The 13,284-nt window shown below is 54.8% G+C and overlaps 1 protein-coding gene across 6 annotated transcripts in view, besides 3 other annotated features; it reads right to left on the bottom strand.

Annotated features, from left to right (window-relative positions):
- Positions 76–2,848: an enhancer, noted in NCBI's record as "VISTA enhancer hs1754". NCBI's record gives its function as "enhancer in: heart[9/11]" and the evidence as "EXISTENCE:transgenic organism evidence [ECO:0001131][PMID:17130149]".
- Positions 665–1,607: an enhancer, noted in NCBI's record as "NANOG-H3K27ac-H3K4me1 hESC enhancer chr19:11253172-11254114 (GRCh37/hg19 assembly coordinates)". NCBI's record gives its function as "activates a minimal SCP1, AML or CMV promoter by ChIP-STARR-seq in naive H9 embryonic stem cells {active_cell/tissue: H9 hESC(naive)}" and the evidence as "EXISTENCE:reporter gene assay evidence [ECO:0000049][PMID:30033119]".
- Positions 1,608–2,551: an enhancer, noted in NCBI's record as "H3K27ac-H3K4me1 hESC enhancer chr19:11252228-11253171 (GRCh37/hg19 assembly coordinates)". NCBI's record gives its function as "activates a minimal SCP1, AML or CMV promoter by ChIP-STARR-seq in naive and primed H9 embryonic stem cells {active_cell/tissue: H9 hESC(naive and primed)}" and the evidence as "EXISTENCE:reporter gene assay evidence [ECO:0000049][PMID:30033119]".
- The window catches only part of LDLR (low density lipoprotein receptor), a 44,358-nt gene continuing 41,356 nt past the window's right edge, over positions 10,283–13,284 (bottom strand). For 5 of the 6 annotated variants that reach the window (NM_000527.5, XM_011528010.3, NM_001195803.2 and 2 more), the window contains one exon: positions 10,283–12,822. In NM_000527.5, coding sequence (NP_000518.1) covers positions 12,787–12,822 — 36 coding nt within the window. In that variant the 3' untranslated portion in view covers positions 10,283–12,786. The remainder of the gene's footprint in view (positions 12,823–13,284) is intronic. The other variant, NM_001195798.2, reaches the window with a different exon arrangement.

Below are 13,284 nucleotides of genomic sequence, written 5' to 3'. Positions count from 1 at the left end.
AGCTTCTAAGAACGGCGGGCCTGGGTTTAGATGTGCAGTTAACTGTTCCTAGATGCCCTTGGGGCTGTTTTAATTTTCCAAGTTGGTGGGTTTTCTCTCTTTTTTCTTTTTTGAGATAGAGTCTAACTCTGTCGCCGAGGCTGGAGTGCACTGGCATGATCTCGGCTCACTGCAGCCTCAACCTCCTGGGCTCAAGCAAACTTCCCACCTCAGCCTCCCAAGCCGCTGGGACTACAGGTGCATGCCACCGTGCCCAGGTAATTTTTGTACTTTCGTAGAAATGGGATCTTGCTATGTTACCCAGGCTGGTCTCAAACTCCTGGGCTCAAGCGATCCTCCCACTTCGGCCTCCCAAAGCGCTGGGATTATAGGCATGAGCGACAGCGCCCGGCCGGTTCTTTTATGTGAGCTGAATTGGGAGCAGAGTCCTCTATTTGCATCCTTGACCCCCAAAGACCTGAAGACCTGAAGCAGAACAGGGCTGTTCCACCTCAGCTCTCGTGACATTGGGCCAGGCTGTTGTGTGTGTTGGGGGCTGTCCTGGGCGTAGTAGAACAGTTAACGTCATCCCTGGCCTCCACCCACCAAATGCCAGCAGCTCCCCCTCAGCCTTAACAACAGGAAATGTCTCCAGCTGTTGCCAGTGTCCCTTCGGGGAGGAAGTCACACACACAAAGCCTCTCGCCTGCCTTGAAGCCTCAGGCAGGGAGCAGTTTGCAAGTCAGGTGTCAGCGCCAGGGTTGGCTAAGCGCTGCTGTCACCTTGGCGGTCATTCCTTTCCCGCACACGGGACAGGATGCCTCCACTGGCCGGTTCACTGGGGCAACTGTGGGCGCCGGGAGTGGAGTGGGCCCAGCCCACGCACGGCTGAGCGTCCTGGGATGGGGGGATTGGGCACGTCTCCCTCTCGTCCTGCAAACTGCAGCTCTGAGTGCCCTGGAGAGAAAGCAGGCATGGGGCAGGGGTGCCGCTGTGACAAGGGTTCTGGGAGCCCAGGCTTATCTGTACCCCTGACCCAGGGCCCGTGCCCCCCCCAACCCTGGGGTTGGCGCTCCCTCCCCACAGGAATGACCTGGCTTTGTTCCCGGAGGGGGCCGAGGAGCCATTGCCCTGCCCTGTCACTCCACATCCCCTCCACCCCAGCAACCTGGGCCTCAGTTTCCCCAAGGAAGAGACGGTCCCATCAGGCGGCCTGTGCCGGGGCTCAGAGAGGCCCTGTGCCCACCAGCCACATCCCCATCCTCGTCCCCCCCAGGCAGGTCCAGGGTCCCCTCTATGGGGAGAGCGAGTGGGAGAGGAACGCGGCCTGGTGGGGGCCCAGCAGGCGGGTTCCGGGAGGTGCCTGATCTCCGGGGCTGGGAGAGGCCCCACTCCACATGCCTGGCCCCTGACTCACTGCCCAGCACTGGCTGGATGCCCAGGACAGCCTGAGGCCGGTGGCCTCCGGCCCCGCCCCCATCCCACCCCCGCCCCCGTTTGTTCTCCCTCTGAGAGCTGTGCCTTCAGCCACCGGCTCTTTCCTGAATGATGGAGGCCGGCCAGAGGCTTGCTGATGGCTCAGCCCAGCCCTGCTGAGGTGGGAGTAAGGTTTCAGGCACCAGGACACAGGGTTCCACACTAGTCCCTGCAGCACTGAGGCTCAGCCCCAGGACCATCCATTTTACAGATGGGGAAACTGAGGCACACAGGACAAGGACCACCCTGGAGTCTGAACTTCAGCAGTGAAGCCCCCAAGCCCTCCCTAGGGGCAGGGTGATCTAACTCAGGACCAGGGGCAGCGTGTGTATATCAGTAGCCCCTGGAGGATTATGCTGGCTTCTCAGATGGGAAGCAGCCCCTTTGAGGAGTCCACCCTGTGTCCGAAGCCACCCAGGTGAGAAGAGGCCAAGCCAGGGTGGGCACCCACACCTGCACCTGCTCGAGCTCCAGAGGGCAGCAGTGGGGCAGCCTGAAGCTCTAGCCACTTAGTCATTACGGCAAGAGGTGTGCAGGTCATGAATTCACACCATGGCCAGCCCCCTGCTCGTAACTGGTGTTTCTGGGGACGGGAGCCCAGGGGCTATGGAGTCTCGAGGTTGAACCCTTCCTCGGGCCCTAGTGCTCCCTGGGCGGCTTCTCCTGAGGACTAGACTTGGGTACCTTTCCCCAGGACTCCTCAGGCCCTGGCGGGGATAAAGTGCATCCTCAGGCCAGTAGTGGGGGCCACCTAGAGGGGCAGGCAGCTGGGAGCAGCTTGGGATGGCTGAGCCATTTTTTTTTTTTTTTTTTTAGAGACAGGGTCTCACTCTATTGCCTAGGCTGGAGTGCAGTGGCGCGATCACAGCCTCACTGCAGCCTCGAATTCATCAGGTCAAACAGTCCTTCTGCCTCAGCCTCCTGAGTAGCTGGGGTCAAGCCTTTCATGCAACCCTCCTCCAGCCTGGCATTCAGTGCCCCTTCCCTGATAGTTCTGGACTAAGAGGTGGTCAAAGTTCTTCCCAGTTTACGGTTAAAAGAAACAGATCGCAGCCGGGCACAGTGGCTCACCCCTGTAATCCCAGCACTTTGGCAGGCTGAGGCAAGCAGATCACGAGGTCAGGAGTTCGAGACCAGCCTGGCCAAGATGGTGAAACTCCCGTCTCTACTAAAAATACAAAAATTAGCTGGGCACGGTGATGGGCACCTGTAATCCCAGCTACTTGGGAGGCTGAGGCAGGAGAATCGCTTGAACCTGTGAGGCGGAGGTTGCAGTGAGCCGAGATCACGCCACTGCACTCTAGCCTGGGTGACAGAGCAAGACTGTCTCAAAAAAAAAAAAAAAAAAAAAAAGAAAGAAAGGAAAAGAAAAGAAACAGATCGCAATGGGGCTTGCCTGTGCATGGGAAGTTTTCAAGGCTGGATTTGAACCCATGGTTGTCGGATCTGAAGTCTCAGTCTCCCTTCTAGGCTGGACAGGATGGGAGAGGCCAGGAAGACCAGTTTTGTGTCATTGGCATGACAGTGTTTGGGTTCCGGAGGGGACCCCCCTGAGGTCTGGGACTACAGCCTCCAGGCAACTCATCTAGGAATGTGGGCCACCCTTGTCGACTCTCATGGTGGCCCCACAACCTCCAGTGGCCTCCCTTTTTTTTTTTTTTTTTTTTGAGATGGAGTCTTGCTCTGTCACCCGGGCTGCAGTGCAGTGATGCGATCGCGGCTCACTGCAACTTCTGCTTCCCGGGTTCAAGTGATTCTCTTCCCTCAGCCTCCTAAGTAGCTGGGACTACAGGCACCTGCCATCACGCCCCGCTAATTTTTGTATTTTTTGTTTTATTTTGTTTTTTTGAGACGGAGTCTCACACTCTCACCTGGGCTGGAGTGCAGTGGCACCATCTCGGCTCACTGCAAGCTCTGCCTCCCGGGTTTACACCATTCTCCTGCCTCAGCCTCCTGAGTAGCTGGGACTACAGGCTCCTGCCACCATGCCCGGCTAATTTTTTGTATTTTTAATAGAGACGGGTTTCACCGTATTAGCCAGGATGGTCTCGATCTCCTGACCTTGTGATCTGCCGCCTCAGCCTCCCAAAGTGCTGGGATTACAGGCATGAGCCACCACGCCCGGCTAATTTTTGTATTTTTAGTAAAGACGGGATTTCACCATGTTGGCCAGACTGGTCTGGAACTCCTGACCTCAGGTGATCCACCCACCTCGGCCTCCCAAAGTGCTGGGATTACAGCCACTGCACCTGGCTGGCCTCCCATATTTACTTAGAAATGTGGACTGGGCCAGGTGCTGTGGCTCACGCCTGTAATCCCAGCACTTTAGGAGGCCAAGGCAGGAAGATTGCTTGAACCGAGGAGTTCAAGACCAGCCTGGACAACACAGTGAGACTCCTGTCTCTACAAAAAAAAACTAAAAAATTAGCCAGGCATGGTGGCGTGCACTCGTAGTCCTGGCTACTTGGGAGGCTGAGGTGGGAGGATTGCCTCAACCCTGGGAGGTCAAGGCTGCAGTGAGCTAGGATTGCACCACTGCGCTCCAGCCTGGGTGACAAAGCAAGACCCTGTCTCAAAAAAAAAGAGGGGGGAGCGGGGGGAAGAAAGAATGAAGGAAGGAAGGAAGGAAGGGGAAGGGAAGGAAGGAAGAAAGGAAGGAAAAGGAGAAAGAGGAGAGGGAGAGGAGAAGCCGGTGTGGTGGCTCACGCCTGTAATCCCAACGCTTCTGGAGGCCGAGGTGGGGCAGATTGCTTGAGGTCAGGAGTTCAAGACCAGCTCAGCCAACATGGTGAAACCCTATCTTTACTAAACACACAAAAACTAGCCAGGCGTGGTGGTGCGTGCTTGTAATCCCAGCTACTCAGGAGGCTAAGAGAATCGTTTGAACCCAGGAGGTGGTGGTTGCCTTGAGCTGAGATCGCACCACTACACTCCAGCCTGGGCGACAGAGCGAGACTCCGTCTCAAAAAAAAAAGAGAGAGAAACAAAGGAAGAAAGAAGGAAGGAAGGGAGGGAGGGAGGAAGGAAGGAGAGAGAGAAAGGAAATGAAGGAAGAAAGAAAAGAAAAGAGAAATGAGTACTGTAAGCCTGTGGCCCGCCAGACCCTCCTTCATGGAGCCACACCCCAGTGGAGGCCACTGTGTCAGTTTTTCTGTAGACGGGTGGCAGAGCCAGGGCTTTAATCTGAGCTGAGTGTGTTCAGAGCTTGTGCTCTTAATCCTGACCCACAAATGAACGCTGTGGGGTGGTGGGGGGTGACGCTCTGTGGCTCTGTGGGAGGCCCAGGGAGGAGGTGTCATTTGTCCCAGACTTGAGCCCCCAGGGGATAAAGGTGTGGAGACTGTGAGCCAGGCAGGGGAAACAGCAAGGCTGGCATGGAGGAGACCAAGGGGGATGGCAGGAGGGCAGGGGTCCTTGATCACGCCAGGCCTGCAGTCCACAGGGCAATGTGGGGAGGATTTTCCAATTCCAAGACAAGCCCCAGCTCTGGGAGAAGGGAACCTGACATGGCCCCTTGACACAGTGGCCCCGCCTGTCTAGGTGGCTGATGTCACTATTTACTCCCAAGCTCCCCGCTCCCCATCCCAGGAACAGCCCCAGAGCAGCCCAGCCCAGGGGAGGGACGGCTCCGGATGGAGCAGAAAGTTGCCAGGAAACCCCAGCGGCCATGCTCAGTGGGGTGATGGGGACCAGGGACTCCCACTCAGAACCCTCCGTGGCTTTTTTATTCCTTCATCATCACGGAAAATCACTGCCTGCAAGGGAGGAGGGTGCTGACCCCAGACTGGGGAGCGGGGAGGGGATTAGGCCAGGGCCAGCTGCAGGGCAGGGCAGCCTGCACCCCTCTCCCCACCTCCCTCTGGCAGCCGCGGCTCAGCCCAGAGGCTCCAGGCTGACTCACTGCAGACAGCTGTGGTCTGGGATGCCTCGGGCTGCTGGAAGGGGAACGGCCTGGGGACAGGAGAAGGGGAGGGACAGCAGGGGACACTAGTTGTGGGTGTCAGACTTGCTGGGAGTGGGACAAATTCCTCCCACCTTCCACCCTGTCCTGGCCAGAGCTGTTGAGCCTGCGGAGACAGGACAGGACCACCAGCCTGCAGGGGTGGCGTTCCCCAAGCTGCAGGCTGCCCCCAGCCCTGCAGGACAAGTGGGTGGGTGGGTGGGTGCTGAGCCTATAGACCAGGGAGCCAGCAGCGCATTTTACCAGGGCCCCGTTCTGAGCCAGAGAACTGGAACCGGCGAGGATCAGAATCCAGCCACAGTGACCCGAGCCTCCTATTTCTCTCTGTAAAATGGGTGGCTGTCAACCCTCCCTCCCTTTGGCGACCATCGGGGCAGAACGATGGATTGTCAGGAAACTGAATGTCTGCATGTCTGTGTCACCCTCAAAGCTCTGATACAAGCTCCCAATGCAGCAGCCAAGGCCGAATACCAGAACCTTCCATCACCTCTGGCCTCTCCTCTGGGCCATGCCCCACCCATGCTGTGCTCCCAGTCCCCACCCCTGCCTGGGGATGCACCCCGGTCCTGCCCACCCTCCCGTCTCAGTCTCAGCACCCTCGAGCCGCCACCTCCCAGGCCCTCCCGTTTTCCTGGCCATCTGAGCCCGCTTATCCTGTTTGCCACTTGGTTGAGCACCAATTTCGTCAATCGAGCAATTATCGAGCGCCTGTGTGCAGGCTCCAGGACGCTTCCTGTGTGGGCTGCTCAGTTTTCCCTCCCAGGGGCGTTTTGGAAGCGTCCCAAAACAAAAGGCGGAAGGCAGGAAGGAAGTGCCACCCCGTGGACGCAGGAAAGATGACAGGCCCTGCCTTTGTCTCCGAGCGCCTGCGCAGCCCCATCCTGCCCCACTTCCAGAGCCCCTGGGGAGGGGGAGATTAGCTTTGTCTCCATTGTCAGGTGGGGAAACTGAGGCTCTGAGGTGCCTGTCACCCAGCGAGTCAGTGGCAGAGCCAGGTTATGAACCCAGACGGCCTGGTCAGTCTGCTCTTTTTGGGTTTTTGTTGTGTTTTGTTTTGTTTTTTTGAGACAGAGTTTCCCAGGCTGGAGTGCAATGGTGCAATCTCGGCTCACCGCAACCTCTTCCTCCCAGGTTCAAGCAATTCTCCTACCTCAGCCTCCCGCGTAGCTGGGATTACAGGCATGCGCCGCCACACCCAGCTAATTTTGTATTTTTAGTAGAGATGGGGTTTCTCCATGTTGGTCAGGCTGGTCTCAAACCCCCAACCTCAGGTGATCCGCCCACCTTGGCCTCCCAAAGTGCTGGACTCAAGAGATCTTCCCACCTCAGCCTCCAAGTATCTGGGACTACAGGTGTGCGCCATCGCATCCGGCTGGTAATTTTAAAACTTTTTCTGTTGTTGTTGTCTGTTTTTTTGACGCAGTGTCTCGCTCTGTCAGGCTGGAGTGCAGTGGTGCGATCTTGGCTCAGTGCAACCTCGGCCTCCCGAGTTCAAGCGATTCTCCTGCCTCAGCCTCCCAAGTAGCTGGGATTACAGGCATGCGCCACCACACCCAACTAATTTTTGTATTTTTAGTAGAGGCGGGGTTTTGCCATTTTGGCTAGGCTGGTTTTGAACTCCTGACCTCAGGTGATCCGCCTGCCTCGGCCTCCCAGAGTGCTGGGATTATAGGCATGAGCCACTGAGCCCAGAAATTTAAAAACGTTTTTTAGAGATGGGGTCTTGCTATGTTGCCCAGACTGCTCTTGAACTCCTGGGCTCAAGCAATCCTCCTGCCTCAGCTTCCCAAGGTACTGGGATTACAGGCATGAGCCACGTTTGTGGACCTAACCACCCCAGTGTCGTGTCACCCCTGGGCCAACCCTGTCCCTCCTTCGATCCACCCAGTAAGGCACCATTGCCTGGGCTTCATCAGCCTGTCCCTGTTGGGCTCAGCCCGTGGGAGGCACTGGTGGGAGATAGAGCCTGGAGCGGGGGACAGGCTGGGCTCTTCCCCGCCTCGCTCTGCTGGGGACCATGTCTGCAGCACTTCTTTCCCTCCTATGAGTTTCTGGCTCTCACCAGCTCCCAGGCTCCAGAAACCACATCTTCCTCTCCTGGTTTTGTGGTGGTGGCGCTTTCTGCTGTTGCTTATTTCTGGGTTACCTCACCGTCCCCCTGTTTAATCTTGAACATTTTTTATGGTGCAGTCACCTGCCAGCATACCCGGCTAATTTTTTTGTATTTTTAGTAGACAGGGTTTCACTATGTTGGGCAGGCTGGTCTCGAACTCCTGACCTCATGATCCGCCTGCCTCAGCCTCCCAAAGTGTTGGGATTACAGGCTTGAGCCACCGCACCCTGCTTTTTTTTTTTTTTATTGAGATGGTGTCTCGCTCTGTTGCCCAGCCTGGAGTGCAATGGTGCCGTCATAGCTCACTGCAGCCTCAAAATCTTACCCTTTTTAGTAGAGACATGGTTTCACCATGTTGGCCAGGCTAGTCTCAAACTCCTGACCTCAAGTGATCTGCCTTCCTTGGCCTCCATTTTTAGAATAGATACAAAAAATTGCTACATTTTAGAAGAATATTCTAGAAGAATATTAAACAGAGTATGGGGACAGAAAAGCAACTGGCAGGAAGGAAGTTTTCTTCAGGGGGAGTTTCTCTAATGAAGTAACATTTGGCTTGGTGCGGTGGCTCACACCTGTAATCCTAGCATTTTGGGAGGCCGAGGCGGTAGACGACTTGAGGTCAAGAGTTCAAGAATAGCCTGGCCAACATGGCAAAACCCCATCTCTACTGAAAATATAAAAATTAGCCGGGTACGCGCCTGTGATCCCAGCAACACAGGAGGCTGAGGCAGGAGAATCGCTTGAACCCGGGAGGTGGAGGTTGCAGTGAGCCAAGATTGTGCCACTGCACTCCAGCCTGGGCAATAAAGCAAGACCTTGTCTCAAAAAAATAAATAAAATAAAATGATGTCAGGTCCTTAAGGACAGACAGGGAGATTTTCATTTCTTTTTTGTTTTTTTTTTGAGACAGAGTCTCGCTCTGTCGCCCAGGCTGGAGTGCAGTGGCGCGATCTCAGCTCACTGCAAGCTCTGCCTCCTGGGTTCATGCCATTCTCCTGCCTCAGCCTCCCAAGTAGCTGGGACTACAGGCGCCCGCCACCATGCCTGGCTAATTTTTTGTATCTTTAGTAGAGACTGGGTTTCGCCACGTTGGCCAGGATGGTCTCGATCTCCTGAGCTCGTGATCCGCCTGCCTTGGCCTCCCAAAGTGCTGGGATTACAGGCATGAGCCACCGTATCAAGACTTCATTTCTTTTTTTTTTTTTTGTAGATGGAGTCTTGCTCTGTTGCCCAGGCTAGAGTGCAGTGGTGCGATCTCGGCTCACTGCAAGCTCCAACTCCCAGGTTCACGCTATTCTCCTGCCTCAGCCTCCCAAGCAGCTGGGACTACAGGCGCCCACCACCACGCCTGGCTAATTTTTTGTATTTTTAGTAGAGATGGGGTTTCACTGTGTTAGCTAGGATGGTCTCGATCTCCTGACCTCATGATCTGCCCGCCTCGGCCTCCCAAACTGCTAGGATTACAGGTGTGAGCCACCACACCCGGCTTTCATTTCTTATATCCCCTGTAGTGTCCCACAAGCCTACGGCAGAGCATGGTTCGCACTTAGCACTCAACAGATATTTGTCGAGTGTATGAATGGATGAGCAGGGGACTTGACAAAATCTCCAACTCAGAGAAGCGACAGCAGAGAACACAATCACCAGCTCAGCCATCACAGCACCTGCCAGGCACTGTGGCAGCCCACGGAGATTGCATCTTGCCCGGAGTTCTGGGAGTCTTCCCCTTCTGGGTCCTTCTCCTGGGGAGTCCAATCCACAAACAGATGACAGAAGGAAGTGAGGCCAGGCGCGGTGGCTCACACCTGTAATCCCAGCACTTTGGGAGACTGAGGCAGGCAGATTACCTGAGGTCAGAAGTTCAAGACCAGCCTGACCAACATGGTGAAACCCCGTCTCTACCAAAAATACAAAAATTAGCCAGGCTAGGCCAGGTGTGGTGGCTCACACCTCTAATCCCAGCACTTTGGGAGGCCGAGACGGGTGGATCACAAGGTCAGGAGATCAAGACCATCCTGGCTAACACGGTGAAACCCTGTCTCTACTAAAAATACAAAAAATTAGCCGGGCGTGGTGGCGGGTGCCTGTAGTCCCAGTTACTCAGGAGGCTGAGGCAGGAGAATGGCATGAACCCGGGAGGCGGAGCTTGCAGTAGGCAGAGATCACGCCACTGCACTCCAGCCTGGGCGACAGAGCAAGACTCCATCTAAAAAAACAAAAAAATTAGCGTTGGCCACCCGCGGTGGCTCACGCCTGTAATCTCAGCACTTTGGGAGGCCGAAGCAGGTGGATCACAAGGTCAGGAGATCGAGACCATCCTGGCTAACATGGTGAAACCCCGTCTGTACTAAAAGAAGTACAAAAAAAAATTAGCCGGGCGTGGTGGCAGGCGCCTGTGGCCCCAGCTACTCAGGAGGCTGAGACAGGAGAATGGCATTAACCTGGGAGGCAGAGCTTGCAGTGAGCCGAGATCACACCACTGCACTCCAGCCTGGGTGACAGAGCGAGACTCTGTCTCAAAAAAAAAAAAAAAAAAAAAATTGGCCAGGCGTGGTGGCACTCACCTGTAATCCTAGCTACTAGGGAGGCTGAGGCAGGAGAATTGCTTGAACCTGGGAGGCGGAGCTTGCAGTAAGCCGAGATCATGCCACTGCACTCCAGCCAGGGGTGACAGAGCCAGGCTCCATCTCAGGAAAAAAAAAAAAACAAAAAGAAGCGCGCGAACAGAAGAACGTGCATCGAGTTTAGACAAATTGGTTCATTTAAGAAATTTAATTGATCACAGTAAGACATTCAGGCTACAAAAACCTTCTATACAGTGGTTTAAAAAGTGACACCCATCTCCCAGAAGCCACTCATACATACAACGGGGACATCATTCTCCCAAAAAGCGTTGCACACAGTCCAGTTCGTGCAAATAATCTTTGTACATAAAGAAGAGGCATTTCAGAGGCAATAACCCCCTACACAGGGCCCCGAGAATAGTCACTGAACAAATACAGCAACCAGGGTTTGCAAAAATAAATAGATTTTATATATATGTGTGTATATATATATATATAAGTGATAACAGTTTCAACCAATATACAAAGTGCAAACATAACAAAAAATCCCCACTATCTGTACAGGGACGCATTTACGTGCTCCGAAACCAGAAAGGCTTATCACGGTTCCCTGCACTGGGGGGGACACAGTGTTTTGTCCCTGGGGACAATTGCCAATCCCTTGTGACATCTTCACGCGGGAGTCTGACGGAGGCTGTCACTGTCTCTCCGGACATCAGTGCAACAGTAACACGGCGATTTCAGAAAGAACCTGAAGTCCCGTCAAACGATCCAGACTGGAGGATTTATTTATTTTTTTATAGTTGTATTTCTGAAATAGGGTCTTCATCTGTTGCCCAGGCTGGAGTGCAGTGGCTCGATCATGGCTCACTGCAACCTCCACCTCCTGGGCTCAGGCGATCCTCCTGCCTCAGCCTCCCAAGTAGCTGGGATCACAGGCACGTGCCACCGTACCCAGCTGATTTTTAACTTTTTGGTTTTTGTAGAGATGGGATCTCGCTTTGTTGCTCAGGCCTGGTCTCCAACTCCTGAACTCAAGTGATCCAGCTCAGCCTCCCAAAGTGCTGGGATTACAGGCGTGAGGCACCTGTGTCTGGCCAAATTCATTTTTTAAGAGATGGGGTCTTACTATGTTGCCCAGGCTGGAAAGCAGTGGCATAATCATAGCTCACGACAGCCTCAAATGCCTGAGCTCAAACCATCCTCCCACCTCAGCCTCGCCATGCCTGGCCAGAGGCCATGGGCTGCTGATGCACCATGCATGGTTTTTTTTTGTTTTTTTTTTTTGAGACGGAGTCTCGCTCTGTCGCCCAGGCCAGACTGCGGACTGCAGTGGCGCAATCTCGGCTCACTGCAAGCTCCGCTTCCCGGGTTCACACCATTCTCCTGCCTCAGCCTCCCGAGTAGCTGGGACTACAGGTGCCCGCCACCACGCCCGGCTAATTTTTTGTATTTTTAGTAGAGACGGGGTTTCACGTGTTAGCCAGGATGGTCTCGATCTCCTGACCTCATGATCCACCCGCCTCGGCCTCCCAAAGTGCTGGGATTACAGGCGTGAGCCACTGCGCCCGGCCTCACCGTGCATGTTTTAAACACATACCCATCAACGACAAGATTGGGGAAGTGAATGGCTTGGAGGCATTTGCATAGAAGTGGAAGCACTAGGTGGGCGGACATAAAGACGACAATGGCAGTTCTCGATATTCACGATCACGGCTTTGAAGTCCCGGTCAACCTGCCCCTCTCTGTCCCCGGCATTCATTGACACGGGCTTTCCCTGGCCTGGGATCCCATCCCAACACACACGACAGAAAACAGTGCAAAATAATAACACAAATGCCAAATGTACACAGTGTACAACTCTGAACTGAGAAAGTGCAAGGAGACCACGGGAATGGAAGTGGGTAGGGGTCGGGAGGATGGGCACCAGGCTGGTGTCCTGACAGCCACACCTGGGTGCAGGCCACGTGTCCTCACGGCCAAGGTAACCGGGTGTCTCAGGCACTTAATAAATATTAAGGGTGACCAGTGACTCAGGCTCTGCCTCTGGGAAGTGGCATCATTTGGTGAATGAGTTTGGTCTCGGTGCCACCACGGATTCAGCCAGATCATTTCCGACGCCATGAATCCCTTTCCTGGCTTAAGGAAGGTACAAACCCACCTCGAAAGACACTGGGTGGGTCATGATTCGGGGGTGACAGGGCAAAGGCTAACCTGGCTGTCTAGCAAGGCTTGCATAGAAGAGGTAAACACGTTGACTCCTGAGTTTAGGGGTTTGGCTTAGAGATTGGTGGATGAGGCAGGGCCAGGGGGTCCCGTTGGTGCCATCTGCTGTTGTGTGTTGAAAGCCACTTGCTTCTCTGGGCCTGACATCCCCTCCCCTTTCATCTTCCATGTTTGAGGATTGTGTCACGGTGGAGAGAAACTCAAAACTTCCTGGAGAGAAATGGAGGTGTCATCCTGGTCCCCCCGGGCCTGTTTCTCTTATCCTTCACGAGGAAAGGAAGAAACCAAAATCCCAACCCAAGCCATTGCATGGGCACTGTCCGAAGCCTGTTCTGCCTCCCAGATGAATAAATATATAAAACAAAGCTCTGGCAGGCAATGCTTTGGTCTTCTCTGTCTTTGAATAAAACAAGGCCGGCGAGGTCTCAGGAAGGGTTCTGGGCAGGGACGGGACTCCAGGCAGATGTTCACGCCACGTCATCCTCCAGACTGACCATCTGTCTCTGCCAACAAATGGTAAACAGCGGAAACTATCAGTCCAGCATTCAGGAAACACGGCTGGAGGCCACCTACTTCTCACCTCCTGGGCCTGGCAGCCTCCCCCAGCCTGATCCCCAAGCATGTTCCCCCAGGAGCCGCCAGAGGGAGACGGTGAGTACCGGATTCAGTCACTTCCCACCGCTCTCAGGGCAAAAGCCAAAGTCCTCCCCAGTGGCCCACAAGGCTCTGCACAACCTGCCTGGTAGCCTCCTGCCTTTTTACCCCTCTCTCTGTTTGCTCCAGCTACAACGGCCTCAAACCCAACAGGCACGGTCCAGCCTCAGGGCCTTCGCACAGGCTGTTCTCCTGGTTCAGAGAAGGCTACCTACCCTAAACCCCTTGTGTAAAGATCAAGGCGGGCGCAGTGGCTCACGCCTGCAATCCCAGCACGTGGGGAGGCCAAGGCGGGTGGATCACTTGAGGTC

Source organism: Homo sapiens, chromosome 19 (genome assembly GCF_000001405.40).
Source record: "Homo sapiens chromosome 19, GRCh38.p14 Primary Assembly".
NCBI lineage: Eukaryota > Metazoa > Chordata > Mammalia > Primates > Hominidae > Homo > Homo sapiens.
Note: the sequence above shows the minus strand (reverse complement) of the source record. Positions and strands in the feature narration are given on the sequence as shown.